Raw genomic sequence first — 16,339 nt, forward strand, 5'->3', positions numbered from 1 at the left:
GGATTGTATGGAGCCCGGGCCTCAGTTTCTCCAGCTGTAGGCGGATGGCCGTGGACTGTGTGTGGCCTGGGCCTCAGTTTCCCCCGCTGTAGGCAGATGGCCGTGGACTGTGTGTGGCTTTGGCCTCAGTTTCCCCAGCTGTAGGCGGATGGCCGTGGACTGTGTGTGGCCCGGACCTCAGCTTCCCCAGCTTTAGGCGGTTGGCCGCGGACTGTGCAAAGTCCAGGCCTCAGTTTCCCCAGCTGTAAGCGGGCGGCCGCCCACTGTACAAGGTCCAGGCCTCAGTTTCCCCAGCTGTAGGTGAGAGGCCGCGGACTGTACAAGGTCCAGGCCTCAGTTTCCCCAGCTGTAGGCGGGCGGCCAAGGACTGCAAGGTCCAGGCCTCAGTTTCCCCACCTGTAGGCGGGCGGCCGCGGACTGTACAAGGTCCAGGCCTCAGTTTCCCCAGCTGTAGGTGAGAGGCCGCGGACTGTACAAGGTCCAGGCCTCAGTTTCCCCAGCTGTAGGCGGGCGGCCGCCTACTGTATAAGGTCCAGGCCTCAGTTTCCCCAGCTGTAGGCGGGCGGCCGCGGACTGTACAAGGTCCAGGCCTCAGTTTTCCCAGCTGTAGGCAGCCGGCCGCGGACTGTGCGGGGCCCGGACCTCAGTTTCCCTATCTCCGCAGTCGGGATTCGCTGTTCCGGGGCGAACAAAGAACGGTCGGGGGTGACCCCGGATCATGGCGCGCCCGCAGTATCTGTGGCCACTGTGGAAACAGCCCTGGCGTGTCCGGGACGCGACGCGGCCTTTCCCTCCCCGCGCGATCACCCAGATGTGAGCGCTCAGTTTGAATCGGACTTTTTGGCCATGTGCCCACAACCAACATGGAGCCCTGAGGGTTTCCTGCCCGACTCCAAGATGGCGATGCGACTCCCTTTGCCCTCACGGCCCAGGCGGGCGGGTCCTGCCCACTTGCAAGATGGCGGCAGCCTGGGCAAAGCACGCTTCCCGCCGCCTGACTCGCCACGTACCCACTCTCAAGATGGCGTCTCCCGCAAAGCCACGCGCCAGCTGACTGGCTCAGACGCCGTCACGTGATCCCATTTTCTCCCCCTCCCCCGACTACACAAGCCGTTTCCGCCTTCGGCCTTGAGGAATAACCGCCTCCCCCAATAGGCGCCTGCGATTTCTCTGGGTCCCGCCCCCGGGCGGCCTTCTGGCCAGTGGGAGGTGCTGGCGGGGGCCCGCGGGGCTCTCCCCGCCCCCTGGCTGCAGCGGGAGCCAATGGGCAGCGCGCGCGGGGGACGTGTGCGGGCGTCTCCGCCATTTTGTGAGTCTATAACTCGGAGCCGTTGGGTCGGTTCCTGCTATTCCGGCGCCTCCACTCCGTCCCCCGCGGGTCTGCTCTGTGTGCCATGGACGGGTGAGTCGCACGTCGCCCCGCGCCCCACCGCCCTCCCCGCGCCGCAGCCCTGCCCCCGCCGCCGCGCCGGCCTCCCCGGGGCCGATCTCGCCCCCTCTCGGGCGGGAGGGGGCGGCGGGCTCTCCCCTTCCTCTCCGCGTGGCGGGCGCGGGTGCGGGGCGGGTCAGGGGCTTCCCGGGGGTCTGGCCGCGTCCCCATCCCCCGTCCGGCCCGCTTCCGGCCCCCGCGCGCCCCGTCCCTAGCGCACGCGGCCTCCCGCGCCCCTCCCCCTCCGCGCGCGTCCCCGCACTTCGCCTTTGCCCCGCCTCGGCGGCGCGCGGCCCTTCCCGCTTCCCGTCCGGCCCTCGCGCGCCCGGATGGCCCTTCCCGCCTCCCGTCCGCTCCCCTCGTGCGCCTGCGTAGCCCGTCGCGCGTCCCCGTTGGCCCCAGCGCGCGTGCGCGGCCGCCATCGGGGGCGCGCGCCTTTCCCGCCGCCCGGACTCTGCCCCCGGCGCAGCCCCGGAAGCGCAGGCGGGGCTGGGGCGGCCGCCGGGAGGGAAAGCTGGCGCCGGGGCCTCGCCGCGGGCCCGAGTCTCTGCGCTCCCCGCCCTACCCCTGCCCCCCGTGCGCCCCGGGCCGCGGCCAAGGGGTTTCGGTGATCTCGGGAGAGAAGCGGCCGCCCCGAGGGTCTGTCCTCCGCCCCGGGGCCGGAGGGGCCTCTCCAGGGACCCCCGCGGGCGCCGTCATGGGGAGGGGCCTTCCCGGCTCTCGGGCCGGGGCAGCCTTTCCGGGCGGCTTTGCTGGGCGGGCTTCCCTTGGGAGAGGTGGGAGCCCCCTCCAGAAAGGCCGTGTCCCGCCGAGCGCTTCCTGCGCGAGGCCCTCCCTGGGAATAGGAAGCGGGAGAGGCTGGAGATGTTTCGCATTCTTTCCGTTTTCCTGAGAAGTTTTTCTTGGGTTCAGTCACTTTTAAAAGTCTGTTAAACGTGGTCCGTGCAGTCTGTGGTGTCAGAAGAGGCGCAGCCCTAGAGTGGGTCTGGACCCCTTAGCATGCGTGCGGGCAGGTGGGTCCTGCAGACGGCGAGACGAGGGCTCCCCGCTCTCGGACCCAGCACCGCGGGCTCGGGGGCCGCGCACTCGCCTCCCGGAGTGAGGCAGGAGGCCCGGAGGCTGCCCTTCCGACGGACGCTCCGAGTCACTTAGGGCCTCGCCGGGAGTTGCAGTGGCCGGGAGAAGCCGTGGGGAGCTCACTGTTGGGTCAGGACCTGGCCGGGGCTGAAGGGAGGGCCTCGGACAGTCCGGCTTTCTATCCACCTTCCCCCCGGGGTGTCCCGAGGAGGGAGAGTCGGGTCGGGCGGGGCTCGGGTTGATCAGTAACTGAGGCTGTGTTCTGGTCGGTCTGTTAATTTTTATTGACGGTTTCCACGGCCGCCTCCTGCTCTCCTCGGTGGATCGGGCTCCACTCTGCTGAGAGGCACCCTCTTGGGGGCCCACCCCTACCCGGGTGGAAGCTCTGGCCCAGGCCTGTGAGTTTGCCAGTTTCAGCCTCTCCGAGGCGTTTCCAACTTACTGGAAAGCACACAGCAGCCCTTGAACCCTCTCAGCGGCATCTAGCATTCCTCGGGGCTTCCGATGGGGGTGTCTTTGTCTTGGAACGTGTGGGGCCTGGTCCAGAGGTGGGGCCTGGGGTCCTGCTGGGAGGGAGGGGCGCCAAAGGACAATGGTGGCCCCTTTTCAAGTTGCAGTCAAGTGGACGGCTCACTTCCCTGCCCTTCTGAGCTTTCTCTAGCGGGGCCTCGTGCAGCCAGAGGGAGCCCTGCGGAGGTGGCAGCTGCAGGGACCTACGGGCTCTCCTGGCCCGGGGACAGCTGGGTGCTCCTGCTGCTGAGTGGCCACCAGGCTAACGTTGTCTCCTTTCTTTCTCTCTACAGCATTGTCCCAGATATAGCCGTTGGTACAAAGGTAGGCACTTCTCACTTTGCTTCTCCGTGACGCTCCTCTGACCTTGTGCCGACCCCGGGGGCCACCCCCCAGCGCTGTTGCGTTGGCTAGAGGGCGCTTTTCCATTCCTAAGGGGCACTACCCTTGGTCTGGAATCTGGAGTTGGGCGGTAGGGTTTGAACCCCGGGCTCCAGTGCCCGTGAGTTTTGGGGGCTTGGGTTTGCTGGCCGCCCCTCAGGTCTGGAATCTGAGCTGCTCTTCGGTTCTTGCTGTCAGCAGCGAGGGCTCTGTGTGCCCCAGGCCTGCCTTTGGAACTTCTGCCTCTAGAGGCTGGAATCGTGCCGTTCAGTGGGAAACCTCATGTTGTGGCTGCCTGGGAGACTCTTGGTTTTGATAGGAAAAGAGCCACCTGGCTGTGGAGGGGACCTGGATAGAATCCAGCCTATTTGAGTGGCTAGGATGGGCATTTACTGGTTGATTTTGACGTTAAGTTTTTTTGTTTTTGTTTTTGTTTTTTATTTTTGAGATGGAGTCTTGCTTTGTCACCAGGCTGGAGTGCAGTGGTGTGATCTTGGCTCACTGCAACCTCCACCTCTCAGGTTCAAGCGATTCTCCTGCCTCAACCTCCTGAGTAGCCGGGATTACAGGTGCCCACCACCATGCCCAGCTAATTTTTGTATTTTTTTTTTTTTTTTTTGGTAAAGATGGGGTTTCGAACATTGTTGGCCAGGCTGGTCTGGAACACAGGTGATGCACCCCCCTTGGCCTCCCACAGTGCTGGGATTACAGTTGTGAGCCGCCAGACCCGGCTGACATTAAGTATCTTTGATGGCATCTGGTTAGAACAGCAGCAAACTGTCAAAGGTGGTGTTTGGGGCAAGAGAAAAATGAATGTGCCACGTCTCTGGGGTGTGCGAATCTTGCAGCCCCATGGAGGGTGAGGCCAGGGCTCAGCATGTGAGGAAAGGGGGTCAGAACCTGGAGAAGAAGAAGGTCCTGGGGAGGCGATTCTCGAGGGAGCTGTAGTCCTCGCTTAGCTGGGGTAGTTGGTTAATGATTCTGCTGGTCATTGTGGGTTGAGGGGGCTCCCGACTTCAGGGCTTGTGCCCCGAGAGCCTCCCGCAGGGCGAGCCCACAGTGGTGGCGTCCTGAGCCAGCAGCCAGTTGGTTTCTGGTCAGTCAGCAGTGGTGCCTGGGCCAGGTTTCGGTTTTTCCCAAGTGGACTGCTGTCTTTACGCGCTGCCTGCCCCGATCTTCCTGGAGATAAAACCTGTTTGTTCAGTGTGGGAGGAGGGAGAGGTACTTTCATCTGAAGCATTTGCAACAATCCCTAGATGTGTCTGGCTTGCAGGCAGTCGTCTCTTCCCTGCTTCTGTGGGCCTGCTTTCCAGCTGGAGTGGCCCTCAGCTTCCATCGGGTGGTCCTTGAGCCCTCCTCTGCAGTTCCTAGGGGGCTCCTGGGCTGGGACGTTGAAGCCCAGCCAGGACTTGAAGCCTGCGGGAGGGATTTTGCCACAGGGCAGGGTTAGGGCTCCTGCTGGGTGCAGGCCCTGGTAGGAGGACGGGGTAGTACCCTGACCCAGATGATACCCCCCCTCCCCCCCACCACCAGGGAGCCCTCAGCTGACCTGGGCCCACACCTGGCTACGCTGTCCTTTAGCCCAGGACAGAGCAAGCTCTTGTTCAGTGTGGGGTTAAAGACACCTAGGAACTGTGCTGTAGGGCCCCAGCTGCAGACTGGAAGTCCTGGGGCGTTTCCTGTCAATCTGTGTGCTTCAGGACAGGTGCCCTGAAGGGACCCTCCTGGGGTACCTGGCAGCTGCTGTGAAGGCAGTGGAGGCGCTAGGCCCAGCTCGTGTCTCCTGGTTGCTGCCCTGTGGAGCCTCGGAGCCTCCAGGTGTCCCTTCCGTTCTGCTGGGGCGCCGTTGAGCTGAGCCAAGCCGGCCTGTGCCGCCTGGGCAGGCATGGAGTTTGCTGCCGCAGACAGTTGTGGGCAATGCCAGGCCACTTGCCCATGGGAATGAGATTAGGGCTTCAGGCAGGCGGCCAAGAGGACCGCTCAGAGGAAGCGGCCCCGCCCACCACTCCAGTCAAAGACAGGGTCCAAGATGCCCTTTTTAAGGTTTGTGCAGCCAGCACATGGGAGCCGCATGGGCGCTTGGCCACTCTCCAGCTTGGGGGAGGACCAGCCCTGGTGTCCTGGACGGGGTCGGCTCCTGGGCTCCCCCAGCCTCTGAGCTGGAGGGGAGAGCAGACAGGAAGCGACTTCCTGTGGGAGGCGAAGGTTGGAGGCCCTGCGTCTCAGGTGCACCCATCCTCCCTTCCTCCCGTCCTCCCTTCCTCCGGTCCTGGCACTGCTGTGTTTTCTGATCGCGTGGTTTCCACCTGAGGCGGCTGGCTCTGACCCCTTTCCCCTGGGCCTGCGCAGCCCCGCCTTGTGCTCATAGGGGGCCCCAGACTCTGAAAGCGAGAGGACTCGAGGGTCTGTTTTCAGTATTTGGCTTCATCTGTGTCCGGCCGGAACCTCAGGGCCGCCGTGACACTGGACACTGTTCATTCTCTGACCCTAAAGTCTTGGGGACTGAACAGGTGCCATTTGGGTGGGCGCCGGGCCTGTGGACCCTGAGTGATTCCTGGTTCCGGCCCTTGTGGCTGCTCGATTGCTTGTTTGGTGACGCCCTGAGTGCTTGTGGGATTGGTGGGAGACTCAGGGCTGCAGTTAGAGGTCTCATTGGCAAGGGCCAGTCCCTGTTCCCCATCCTCCTTGAGCAGGTGCCGGAGTCTCCCGAGGCTCTTGCCGTCCGCGTCGGGAGGAGGCAGCTGTGGGGCTTTGGAGGCTCGGGCAGTCTTCCTTCCAGGAAGCTCTTGAGCCAGGGCCAGGGCAGGAGTGGAGCTGAACGTGGGTGGAGGGGAGGCGGCCTTAAGAGAAGACCAAGCGCAGGCTCGGGGAGGCCAGCGTTGGTGGGGGCTCTTTGGCCAGGTGTGGGGGCAGCTCCTTGACCAGGCATGGGGGTGTGTGGAGCTGGGGGTTGTCTGAGGGGGGACAGGGTGTGATATCCACTGGTTCTTTCTGATGCGATGGCCCTGGGCCCTTCAGCAGGTGGGGGCAGGCTCTTGGCCTCAATCCTGATACGGGAGATGGAGGCTCCTTTGTTCCCTGGGATGGCCCTGTCCTGGGGGGCCTGGGCGTTGCTGCCCTCAGCGCCTGCAGAGGCTCGCTTTGCAGACCAAGCGCCTGTGCTCCAAGGTCCTCAGACCCGAGCTTTGTTTTCTGTGTAACTAAGGGCCGTAACCAACGTCTCCTCCAATTTCACTCTTTGAATAAACGTGTGTCTTCAATCCTTGCAGCGGGGGGGATGTCTGCCGTCCTGAGCCTAGGATCAGTCTAGTGCAATTCTTAGAAGTTGATCCAATTACATAGAAATAACCAGTGAATAGATTGTTTCTGGAGAGAAAATGGACAGGTCAGAAGTGATGGAGCCGCTGTGGAGCTCCCCCGGCCCTAGTCACGGCCGCGATACCAGCGGATCACTGGGCGGGAGGCCGTGTCTCTAGTCCTCAGTCTCGCGTGTGCAGAGACGGAGGTCGGGTTTCTTTTCCGGGCTGGAAAACAGGAGAGGAGGGGCTCCTGCGAGAGTGAGGGAGGCAGCGCTATAATTTGGTTCTCTTGCGAGGCCACCAGAAGTGAGGACGGCTGCCTGGGCCCTGCCGTGTGCTGCTGGGGGGGCTGGCTCCATGGAGGGGGTCCTCTGCCCTGCTGGCTGGTGGCTGAGGCCCCAGGCCTGTGCCCAGGGCCGCTGGCAGCACAGTGAGGCCACGTCCACAGCAGAGTTGGCCGTGGAGATAGTGTACGTGGTGCCCTCCGTAGCTGAGAGCCTCCCAGCCCCACACTGGCTGAGTACCCAGGGCTTCCAGAATTTGGAAAAAGGAGCAGTGTTTTGGTCGTGGAGCTGTGGGGTGCCGTGCGCGTCCATGGGCTGGGTCTGCGCTCAGGCTGCCCTGCCGTGGAAGTGTGGGTGTGGGTATGGGTTGGGGGTCTGGGACCCCAGGCAGCCCAAGTGGGAGCAGGGCCGGCCGGTGGGGAAGGGAGGCTCTGGCCTGGTGGGAAGTGCAGCTCCGCGTTGTCCCTTCTCTTGCAGCGGGGATCTGACGAGCTTTTCTCTACTTGTGTCACTAACGGACCGTTTATCATGAGCAGCAACTCGGCTTCTGCAGGTAAGGCCGGGACTCGGCCCAGGGCAAGACCCGTGGGTGTCTTTCCCTGGAACAACGTTACGTTCTTGTTCTGGGACTCTACTTTCCATCTCCAACTGCAGGGGCCCATGGTCCACGCTACAGACCCAGGTCCAAGTTCTCGCTGCAGAGAATTTCCAGGGAGGCGCTGGATGGATGGTCCAGGCTGGCACTTGGACCTGTGGGCGGGTTGTCAGGAGCTGTCGGGAGCAGGGGTCCTGACTGTGCAGGTCTTGGCCTCTCGCGCTGCTGGTTCACATGCACCCTCCTGGGGCTCAGGGTTGGTCTCCGTAGCAGGCAGGGCTCTAGGGGGATAGCAGGGACCTTCCTCTGTGGGCTCCTGCGAGTTGGTGCCTGCATCTCATGGCACCCCCTTTTCAGCAAACGGAAATGACAGCAAGAAGTTCAAAGGTGACAGCCGAAGTGCAGGCGTCCCCTCTAGAGTGATCCACATCCGGAAGCTCCCCATCGACGTCACGGAGGGGGAAGTCATCTCCCTGGGGCTGCCCTTTGGGAAGGTCACCAACCTCCTGATGCTGAAGGGGAAAAACCAGGTACCTGAGCCGCGTTTCTCCGGGGTGCTCACACCGTGCAGGCGGGGACGAGGAGGGCCCAGCGCTCACTGCCTCCCCAACAGGCCTTCATCGAGATGAACACGGAGGAGGCTGCCAACACCATGGTGAACTACTACACCTCGGTGACCCCTGTGCTGCGCGGCCAGCCCATCTACATCCAGTTCTCCAACCACAAGGAGCTGAAGACCGACAGCTCTCCCAACCAGGCGGTGCGTGGCCCCGCGGCGGACCCCAGCAGCCCGGGGACCTCGGGGGTGGGCCCAGCCGCAGGGGCCGGGGACTCACGGCTGTGCCTCCCACAGCGGGCCCAGGCGGCCCTGCAGGCGGTGAACTCGGTCCAGTCGGGGAACCTGGCCTTGGCTGCCTCGGCGGCGGCCGTGGACGCAGGGATGGCGATGGCCGGGCAGAGCCCCGTGCTCAGGATCATCGTGGAGAACCTCTTCTACCCTGTGACCCTGGATGTGCTGCACCAGGTGAGGTGGTCCCATCACCGCCAGGGCAGGTCGGCTGCTATTGCTGTGGGCACAGGCACACGGGAGGGGCCTGGCAGGGCTGGTGGGCACCGGGCAGGAGCTCATGCTGTGGCCCGGGACCTGCAGATTTTCTCCAAGTTCGGCACAGTGTTGAAGATCATCACCTTCACCAAGAACAACCAGTTCCAGGCCCTGCTGCAGTATGCGGACCCCGTGAGCGCCCAGCACGCCAAGCTGGTGAGTGGGGCTCCCGGGACGGCGCCCGCCCTGGCCCTGGCCCGGCGACGTCTCACGGTCCCTCTCCCCTCAGTCGCTGGACGGGCAGAACATCTACAACGCCTGCTGCACGCTGCGCATCGACTTTTCCAAGCTCACCAGCCTCAACGTCAAGTACAACAATGACAAGAGCCGTGACTACACACGCCCAGACCTGCCTTCCGGGGACAGCCAGCCCTCGCTGGACCAGACCATGGCCGCGGCCTTCGGTAAGAGGCTGCCCGACGCGGCGCCAGTGTGCAGAGTGGTCTATTAGGGCCGCTCAGTCCGGAGCCCCGGCGGCACGGGCCCGGCCCTGCACCAGGGTGATGCACCTGCTGCTCTCTGCACGGCCAGCACAGCACGGTCCAGTGTCCCCCACGTCGGGACCACGGCCCCCCCTGGAGCAGCGGATCTGCCCGCGAAGGCTCTGCCGGGGCCGCCCGCCGGCCGGGTTGGGGCCCATCCCGCAGCACAGCGCCCGCTCGCGGTGGAGGTTGTGGGTGCGATGATTAGTGTCTCATTTATTTCTAGGTGCACCTGGTATAATCTCAGCCTCTCCGTATGCAGGAGCTGGTTTCCCTCCCACCTTTGCCATTCCTCAAGCTGCAGGTATTCAAACGCTTGGTCTTGGTTCCCCAGCGACTGCATGCCCACACCACCTTCCCAGGCAGCTCCGCATCCACGGCGGCAGCCTGGGCGGACTGGGCACTCGAGTGCCAGGTCAGGGGCCCTTCCCGGGAGAGGGGACGCCACGTCCACAGAGCAGGCTTGGCCAGGGCAGTGGTAGGACAGGGCTGTGGAGGCCCACGTGTGGACGGCGCCAGCCAGAAGCCGCTAATCGCACAGTCTTTGTGGTCTGGTTCCCTTCAAGCACCTCCGGGCGAGCGCGAGGACCGCCAGTGGTTGGAGGGATGTCTCTAGTAGTTGAATTTGAGTGGCCTGGTAAGCGCGCGGCCCGAGGCTGAGCAGCATGACCGGCGGCGGGACGTGTGTGCGTGGCCGTCCTCCCGCTTCCCTTCTGGGACCGGGGCCCGGCCGCCCCAGTGCTGGCCGTGGACGGAGCAGCGCGTGCCGCCCGGCGGCCGCCTCGTCTGCATGGAGGCATGGGCGCGCATGCGCGGTGGTCCCGGGACGGGCCCTGCTTGCCGAGGGCCCCGTGTCTGTGCTGGCGGAGCCGGAGCTTTTCTGTGCTGTGGGCGGGGCGCATGCAGATGAGCCCAGGCCCGGCCCGGCCCGTGCTGTGAGGAGAGGCGGGCGCTGGTGCAGGAGCCGGCGGGTGGCTGTGCGGGGGTCGGACGACCCCACAGGCACCCAGGGTAGGGCCAGAGCCAGGGCCGCCTCCCGCGCGGCTCGGCTCCTCGGTGCATGAGGACGGGGAGCGTCGGCCTCTCCCACTCTGCGGTGGAGTCGGGGGCGCCGCCGCTCATCTCACCTCCTGCTTTTCCAGGCCTTTCCGTTCCGAACGTCCACGGCGCCCTGGCCCCCCTGGCCATCCCCTCGGCGGCGGCGGCAGCTGCGGCGGCAGGTCGGATCGCCATCCCGGGCCTGGCGGGGGCAGGAAATTCTGTATTGCTGGTCAGCAACCTCAACCCAGAGGTACGTGGGCTTTTCCTCCGCGCCGCCGTTCCTCCCGGAAGAGCGAGCAGGGGATGTTGTGCTCGGGCTCGGGTCCCGGAGCAGCGCCGCCCCTCGCTGTGTCTGCGCCTCTGCCCTGGCAGCCCCTCTGCTGCAGCGCTGAGACCCTCCTTTTCCAAGATGGCTTGAGTTTTCCTCTTTTCCTGAATTCACATCTTGGTTCGCGTTTTCTCTTGCATGATACGCAGAATGAATTATTTTTTGGTTACCCAAAGGCAATCTAAAAATTACTTGGAGCTGAGCAGGGCGCGCAGTTCAGAGCCCCAGCAGGCCGCCCTGCTGGTCAGCGGGACACACAGGGTTAGCGCGGCGGGGTGTGGGCAGCCCCTGTGGCTCGAGAGCCTGTCACTTAACTGGTGGATCCGTTATTTCCCAGAATGGTTAAATTCCCCTCGGGGAGAGCTTGGGTGAAACAAGAGGCCCAAAATATGTAACTCTTGATGGATGGGATCCTCCTGGAATCAGCATTTCAGGCTGTTCTGTTTCCCGGCAACTCCTGTGACTTCCTCAAGGCGGTGCCCAGCCTGGCCCTCCCTCGCGGGGGCCCAGGACGCACTCCCTGCCTGTGCCTCTTACCACGAGCCGGGTGCTGTCCCTCCAGCTCCTCCTGAGCGAGGCCGTGCACTAACAGACTCGATCTCCCTTCACGCCTGTAATCGTCCTTAGAGACTGACTTGTGCCACAGCTGCGGGAGACAGCGCTGCTGCAGGGCTTGGCTGAGGTGGCCGCGAGCGGAGCTGCACGCGCGCTCCTGGGGGGCGTGGTTGGGATCGGCTTCTGGGAGCCCCTCCAGCAGCGCTGTCTCTGCCGGCATGTGAGTGAAGGTGCTTCTCTTACCGTGTGCCCGTCGAGGTAAACCTGTAACTGGAATGTGTGTGGAGTGTGACTGATAGAACACTACCTGATTCTTATGTATTTACTGACCTGTGTTTTTTTGCTACTTTTTTTCTTTTCTCCCCTTCCCCTTTCCCTATTTTTTTTCTTGCCCTGATCCGGAATTTCTTTGCCAACTGACTGCACGGTACTTCTGCTTCCTGTTGTTGCTTGAAACAAAACAAAAACATAAACAAATAAAAAACAAAAATTCCCCCTCAAACCCTGCTCTCCGGAAACCAACCTGCCCTTGAATATTAACATCCTGACAACTTCATCATCCATCAACCACTGCACGCCTGCGGGGACTGTCTTCCTCGTGTGGACGATTGGCAACTCGCCCCCCTTGACCTCTCCCTCTCCCCTGTCCCTCCGCTGCCTTGCTCTGCTGTCTCTAAAGAGAGTCACACCCCAAAGCCTCTTTATTCTTTTCGGTATGTTATCGTTCACACTTTTATTACCTTGTTTTCATTAATTGAGATGATTTTGATGCCCTGAGACGTATTATGAGTTTGCGGTTTGGCACTCTGATGCTCCGTGGCATCCGCCTCGTTTTATGGTTTGCTTTCGGTTTGCGAATTTTATTTGGTCCCGTAGATACGTACGCATGGTTTATCGCCCTGCATGCTTTTCAGAGTTAGACCTGTCGGTGGCATATGCCACCGTGGCCACCCGCTGGCAGCTTACCTGTCCTGGATGCTATGACTTTGCTGAACGGAGCTGCTCCTGTTAGCGCGCCCTGTGGCTGCGAGACGCAGCTCCGCAGTGGCCGATAAAGCAAACCCGGCCGGGCTGAGCCGGGCCTTGTGGGGGTGCGCGGGGCCGGGGCTGACGGGGAGATGGGCGGGGCAGGCAGCAGGAGACTCAGGCCCCATCCCTGGGCTTTTGAAGGCGTCTACGGTGACGTGCAGCGCGTGAAGATCCTGTTCAATAAGAAGGAGAACGCCCTAGTGCAGATGGCGGACGGCAACCAGGCCCAGCTGGGTAAGAGGCCGGGGCGGCCCCGGGGTGGAGGGGGCAGGGGCGGGGGCTGCGTTCCCTCTCGGGCGCCTGGTCACGCGGGTGCTGCTCCCCCAGCCATGAGCCACCTGAACGGGCACAAGCTGCACGGGAAGCCCATCCGCATCACGCTCTCGAAGCACCAGAACGTGCAGCTGCCCCGCGAGGGCCAGGAGGACCAGGGCCTGACCAAGGACTACGGCAACTCACCCCTGCACCGCTTCAAGAAGCCGGGCTCCAAGAACTTCCAGAACATATTCCCGCCCTCGGCCACGCTGCACCTCTCCAACATCCCGTGAGTGCTGGGCCGGGGGGCTCATGGGGCCGGGGGCGGGCAAGGGCTCTGCTTGGCTGTCCTACCGCGTCGGTGTGTGGACTTCTGGCGTTTCCAGAGTGCAGGTCGGGCACCTCTTACCCCAAACCTGAAGTACTGCAAGGCCTGGAGCTTGAGCCGAGGGCTGCTCAAGGGAGGGGGTCGTTGGACACTTTGGAGGTTTTGGCTCAGGGGATGCTCCCTGTGAGAATGTATAATGCACACATTTATTTATTTATATTTTTTGAGGCGAAGTCTTGCTTTGTCACCCAGGCTGGAGTACAGTGGAACGATCTCGGTTCACTGCAACCTCCGCCTCTTGGGTTCAAGTGATTGTGCCACCTCAGCTTCCCGAGTAGCTGGGACTGTAGGCACCCACAACCACACCTGGCTAATTTTTGTATTTTTAGTAGAGACGGGGTTTCACCATATTGGCCAGGCTGATCTTGATCTCCTGACCTTGTGATCCGCCTGCTTCGGCCTCCCAAAGTGCTGGGATACAGGCGTGAGCCACCGCGCCTAGCCACATTTATTTATTTATTTATTTATTTTACTTATTTTGAGATGGAGTCACGCTCTGTCGCCCAGGCTGGAGTGCAGTGGCGGGATCTCTGCAAGTTCTGCCTCCTGGGTTCATGCCACTCTGCTGCCTCAGCCTCCCGAGTAGCTGGGAGGGACTATAGGTGCCCGCCAGCACGCCCGGCTAATTTTTTGTATTTTTAGTGGAAACGGGGTTTCACTGTGTTAGCCAGGATGGTGTCGATCTCCTGACTTTGTGATCAACCCGCCTCGGCCTCCCAAAGTGCTGGGATAACAGGTGGGAGCCACCACGCCTGGCCTAATGCACACCTTTATAATCCCAGTACTGTGGGGGGCCGGGCAGGGGATTGCTTGAACCCAAGAGTTAAGACCAGCCTGAGCAATAAAGTGAGACCTCTGTCTCTACAGGAACAATTGGTTAAAATTAGCTAGGAGTGGTGGTGTGCACGTCAGGTCCCAGCTCTTCCGGATTGGGAGGTTGAGGTGGGAGGTTCACTTCGCGCTCAGGAGGTTGAGGTTGCAGTGAGCTGTGATTGCACTGCCAGACTCCAGGCTGGGCGGCAGAGTAAGACCCTGTCTGTAAAAATTACATAATGCAAGTATTTGGAAATGCAGGTACATCTGGCCCCAAGCATGTCAACCAGTAGTAAGCCCTTTGATATTTAACACGTTACTTGTGAAATGTTATCAGAAAATCAACAAGGGGCCTGGCAGAGTGGCTCACGCCTATCATCCCAGCACTTTAGGAGGCCGAGGCAGGCAGATCACCTGAGGTCAGGAGTTCAAGACCAACCTGGCCAACCTGGTGAAACCCCGTCTCTACTAAAAATAAAAAAATTAGCCTGGCATGGTGTTGCGTGCCTGTAATCCCAGCTACTTGGGAGACTGAGGCAGGAGAATCACTTGAACCTGCAGGCGGAGGTTGTGGTGAGCTGAGATCACGCCACTGTGCTCCCGCCTGGGCGACAGAGCAAGATTCCATCTGGAAAAAAAAAAGTGGAGGAGCGTGGTACTCTGTTTCTGCAAACTTGTAGATGCCTGGTTTCGTTAGAAGCTGCTTCAGACCATTGTGGACATGATTTGATACCCCATTTCTGGGCTCCTAAAAGGCCCTACGCCTTCCCCGGCTACTCTGAAAACTAGTCTGGGGAAAGCCTCGCGGACCTGACTGGGCGCCCCCACCCCCACGCGGCCCCAGGCTCACGCCTTTCTCCTCCCACAGGCCCTCAGTCTCCGAGGAGGATCTCAAGGTCCTGTTTTCCAGCAATGGGGGCGTCGTCAAAGGATTCAAGTTCTTCCAGTGAGTATGAGGCGGGCTGTCCCTGGCTCTCCCCAGGCTGCCCTGCGGCCGGCCCTGACCCCCTGTCTTGCAGGAAGGACCGCAAGATGGCACTGATCCAGATGGGCTCCGTGGAGGAGGCGGTCCAGGCCCTCATTGACCTGCACAACCACGACCTCGGGGAGAACCACCACCTGCGGGTCTCCTTCTCCAAGTCCACCATCTAGGGGCACAGGCCCCCACGGCCGGGCCCCCTGGCGACAACTTCCATCATTCCAGAGAAAAGCCACTTTAAAAACAGCTGAAGTGACCTTAGCAGACCAGAGATTTTATTTTTTTAAAGAGAAATCAGTTTACCTGTTTTTAAAAAAATTAAATCTAGTTCACCTTGCTCACCCTGCGGTGACAGGGACAGCTCAGGCTCTTGGTGACTGTGGCAGCGGGAGTTCCCGGCCCTCCACACCCGGGGCCAGACCCTCGGGGCCATGCCTTGGTGGGGCCTGTGTCGGGCGTGGGGCCTGCAGGTGGGCGCCCCGACCACGACTTGGCTTCCTTGTGCCTTAAAAAACCTGCCTTCCTGCAGCCACACACCCACCCGGGGTGTCCTGGGGACCCAAGGGGTGGGGGGGTCACACCAGAGAGAGGCAGGGGGCCTGGCCGGCTCCTGCAGGATCATGCAGCTGGGGCGCGGCGGCCGCGGCTGCGACACCCCAACCCCAGCCCTCTAATCAAGTCACGTGATTCTCCCTTCACCCCGCCCCCAGGGCCTTCCCTTCTGCCCCCAGGCGGGCTCCCCGCTGCTCCAGCTGCGGAGCTGGTCGACATAATCTCTGTATTATATACTTTGCAGTTGCAGACGTCTGTGCCTAGCAATATTTCCAGTTGACCAAATATTCTAATCTTTTTTCATTTATATGCAAAAGAAATAGTTTTAAGTAACTTTTTATAGCAAGATGATACAATGGTATGAGTGTAATCTAAACTTCCTTGTGGTATTACCTTGTATGCTGTTACTTTTATTTTATTCCTTGTAATTAAGTCACAGGCAGGACCCAGTTTCCAGAGAGCAGGCGGGGCCGCCCAGTGGGTCAGGCACAGGGAGCCCCGGTCCTATCTTAGAGCCCCTGAGCTTCAGGGAAGGGGCGGGCGTGTCGCCGCCTCTGGCATCGCCTCCGGTTGCCTTACACCACGCCTTCACCTGCAGTCGCCTAGAAAACTTGCTCTCAAACTTCAGGGTTTTTTCTTCCTTCAAATTTTGGACCAAAGTCTCATTTCTGTGTTTTGCCTGCCTCTGATGCTGGGACCCGGAAGGCGGGCGCTCCTCCTGTCTTCTCTGTGCTCTTTCTACCGCCCCCGCGTCCTGTCCCGGGGGCTCTCCTAGGATCCCCTTTCCGTAAAAGCGTGTAACAAGGGTGTAAATATTTATAATTTTTTATACCTGTTGTGAGACCCGAGGGGCGGCGGCGCGGTTTTTTATGGTGACACAAATGTATATTTTGCTAACAGCAATTCCAGGCTCAGTATTGTGACCGCGGAGCCACAGGGGACCCCACGCACATTCCGTTGCCTTACCCGATGGCTTGTGACGCGGAGAGAACCGATTAAAACCGTTTGAGAAACTCCTCCCTTGTCTAGCCCTGTGTTCGCTGTGGACGCTGTAGAGGCAGGTTGGCCAGTCTGTACCTGGACTTCGAATAAATCTTCTGTATCCTCGCTCCGTTCCGCCTTCGTTGCTGGCTTCCTCTTTCTGTGCCGCGGGCGGCCCCGACTCCCGCCCGGGTGTCCGCCGAAGCGCCAGGTGGGGCCACGGGCGGGGTGGGCCCGGCCCTGAGAGTGGGGGTCC

At 61.5% G+C, this 16,339-nt stretch overlaps 1 protein-coding gene and 1 non-coding gene across 7 annotated transcripts, besides 10 other annotated features; both read left to right on the forward strand.

Annotated features, from left to right (window-relative positions):
• Window positions 468–1,103: an enhancer, noted in NCBI's record as "H3K27ac-H3K4me1 hESC enhancer chr19:796571-797206 (GRCh37/hg19 assembly coordinates)". NCBI's record gives its function as "activates a minimal SCP1, AML or CMV promoter by ChIP-STARR-seq in naive H9 embryonic stem cells {active_cell/tissue: H9 hESC(naive)}" and the evidence as "EXISTENCE:reporter gene assay evidence [ECO:0000049][PMID:30033119]".
• Window positions 468–2,187: a biological region, named in NCBI's record as "hESC enhancers GRCh37_chr19:796571-797206 and GRCh37_chr19:797405-798290".
• Window positions 756–1,095: an enhancer, noted in NCBI's record as "active region_13572". NCBI's record gives its function as "activates an Ori minimal core promoter by ATAC-STARR-seq in GM12878 lymphoblastoid cells {active_cell/tissue: GM12878}" and the evidence as "EXISTENCE:reporter gene assay evidence [ECO:0000049][PMID:35858748]".
• Window positions 1,008–1,362: a silencer, noted in NCBI's record as "fragment chr19:797111-797465 (GRCh37/hg19 assembly coordinates)". NCBI's record gives its function as "represses an EF-1alpha promoter that drives an FKBP-Casp9 reporter gene in an ReSE screen in K562 erythroleukemia cells {active_cell/tissue: K562}" and the evidence as "EXISTENCE:reporter gene assay evidence [ECO:0000049][PMID:32094911]".
• Window positions 1,126–1,475: a silencer, noted in NCBI's record as "silent region_9622". NCBI's record gives its function as "represses an Ori minimal core promoter by ATAC-STARR-seq in GM12878 lymphoblastoid cells {active_cell/tissue: GM12878}" and the evidence as "EXISTENCE:reporter gene assay evidence [ECO:0000049][PMID:35858748]".
• Window positions 1,302–2,187: an enhancer, noted in NCBI's record as "NANOG-H3K27ac-H3K4me1 hESC enhancer chr19:797405-798290 (GRCh37/hg19 assembly coordinates)". NCBI's record gives its function as "activates a minimal SCP1, AML or CMV promoter by ChIP-STARR-seq in naive H9 embryonic stem cells {active_cell/tissue: H9 hESC(naive)}" and the evidence as "EXISTENCE:reporter gene assay evidence [ECO:0000049][PMID:30033119]".
• Window positions 1,349–16,209, forward strand: PTBP1 (polypyrimidine tract binding protein 1). Of its 6 annotated transcripts, none has more exons than NM_002819.5 (15): window positions 1,349–1,402; window positions 3,310–3,340; window positions 7,458–7,533; window positions 7,933–8,105; window positions 8,189–8,335; window positions 8,429–8,599; window positions 8,726–8,836; window positions 8,910–9,084; window positions 9,389–9,466; window positions 10,305–10,453; window positions 11,766–11,799; window positions 12,257–12,349; window positions 12,443–12,659; window positions 14,440–14,517; window positions 14,591–16,209. In NM_002819.5, exons 1-15 carry the CDS (start codon window positions 1,395–1,397, stop codon window positions 14,721–14,723), a joined length of 1,674 nt encoding a protein of 557 aa, NP_002810.1. In that variant the 5' UTR covers window positions 1,349–1,394; the 3' UTR covers window positions 14,724–16,209. The 6 variants fall into 6 exon arrangements, with proteins under 6 accessions (NP_002810.1, NP_114367.1, NP_114368.1 ...); NM_031990.4 differs by having other exon boundaries at window positions 9,410–9,466; NM_001411140.1 differs by lacking the exon at window positions 1,349–1,402 and adding an exon at window positions 1,881–2,442.
• Window positions 1,486–1,665: a silencer, noted in NCBI's record as "silent region_9623". NCBI's record gives its function as "represses an Ori minimal core promoter by ATAC-STARR-seq in GM12878 lymphoblastoid cells {active_cell/tissue: GM12878}" and the evidence as "EXISTENCE:reporter gene assay evidence [ECO:0000049][PMID:35858748]".
• Window positions 1,736–2,045: a silencer, noted in NCBI's record as "silent region_9624". NCBI's record gives its function as "represses an Ori minimal core promoter by ATAC-STARR-seq in GM12878 lymphoblastoid cells {active_cell/tissue: GM12878}" and the evidence as "EXISTENCE:reporter gene assay evidence [ECO:0000049][PMID:35858748]".
• Window positions 2,188–3,071: an enhancer, noted in NCBI's record as "NANOG-H3K27ac-H3K4me1 hESC enhancer chr19:798291-799174 (GRCh37/hg19 assembly coordinates)". NCBI's record gives its function as "activates a minimal SCP1, AML or CMV promoter by ChIP-STARR-seq in naive H9 embryonic stem cells {active_cell/tissue: H9 hESC(naive)}" and the evidence as "EXISTENCE:reporter gene assay evidence [ECO:0000049][PMID:30033119]".
• Window positions 7,132–7,654: an enhancer, noted in NCBI's record as "H3K27ac-H3K4me1 hESC enhancer chr19:803235-803757 (GRCh37/hg19 assembly coordinates)". NCBI's record gives its function as "activates a minimal SCP1, AML or CMV promoter by ChIP-STARR-seq in naive H9 embryonic stem cells {active_cell/tissue: H9 hESC(naive)}" and the evidence as "EXISTENCE:reporter gene assay evidence [ECO:0000049][PMID:30033119]".
• On the forward strand, window positions 8,837–8,898 carry MIR4745 (microRNA 4745). The gene has a single exon (NR_039900.2). It is a non-coding gene; the product is annotated as a microRNA 4745 (primary transcript).
• Window positions 16,210–16,339: the final 130 nt, after the last annotated feature.

Source organism: Homo sapiens, chromosome 19, assembly GCF_000001405.40.
Source record: "Homo sapiens chromosome 19, GRCh38.p14 Primary Assembly".
Lineage (NCBI taxonomy): Eukaryota > Metazoa > Chordata > Mammalia > Primates > Hominidae > Homo > Homo sapiens.

Coding starts and splice junctions, on each gene's coding strand:
- PTBP1 (NM_001411140.1), top strand. Junction 12,660..14,439: donor CTGCACCTCTCCAACATCCC/GTGAGTGCTGGG, acceptor CTCCTCCCACAG/GCCCTCAGTCTCCGAGGAGG. Junction 14,518..14,590: donor AAAGGATTCAAGTTCTTCCA/GTGAGTATGAGG, acceptor CCTGTCTTGCAG/GAAGGACCGCAAGATGGCAC.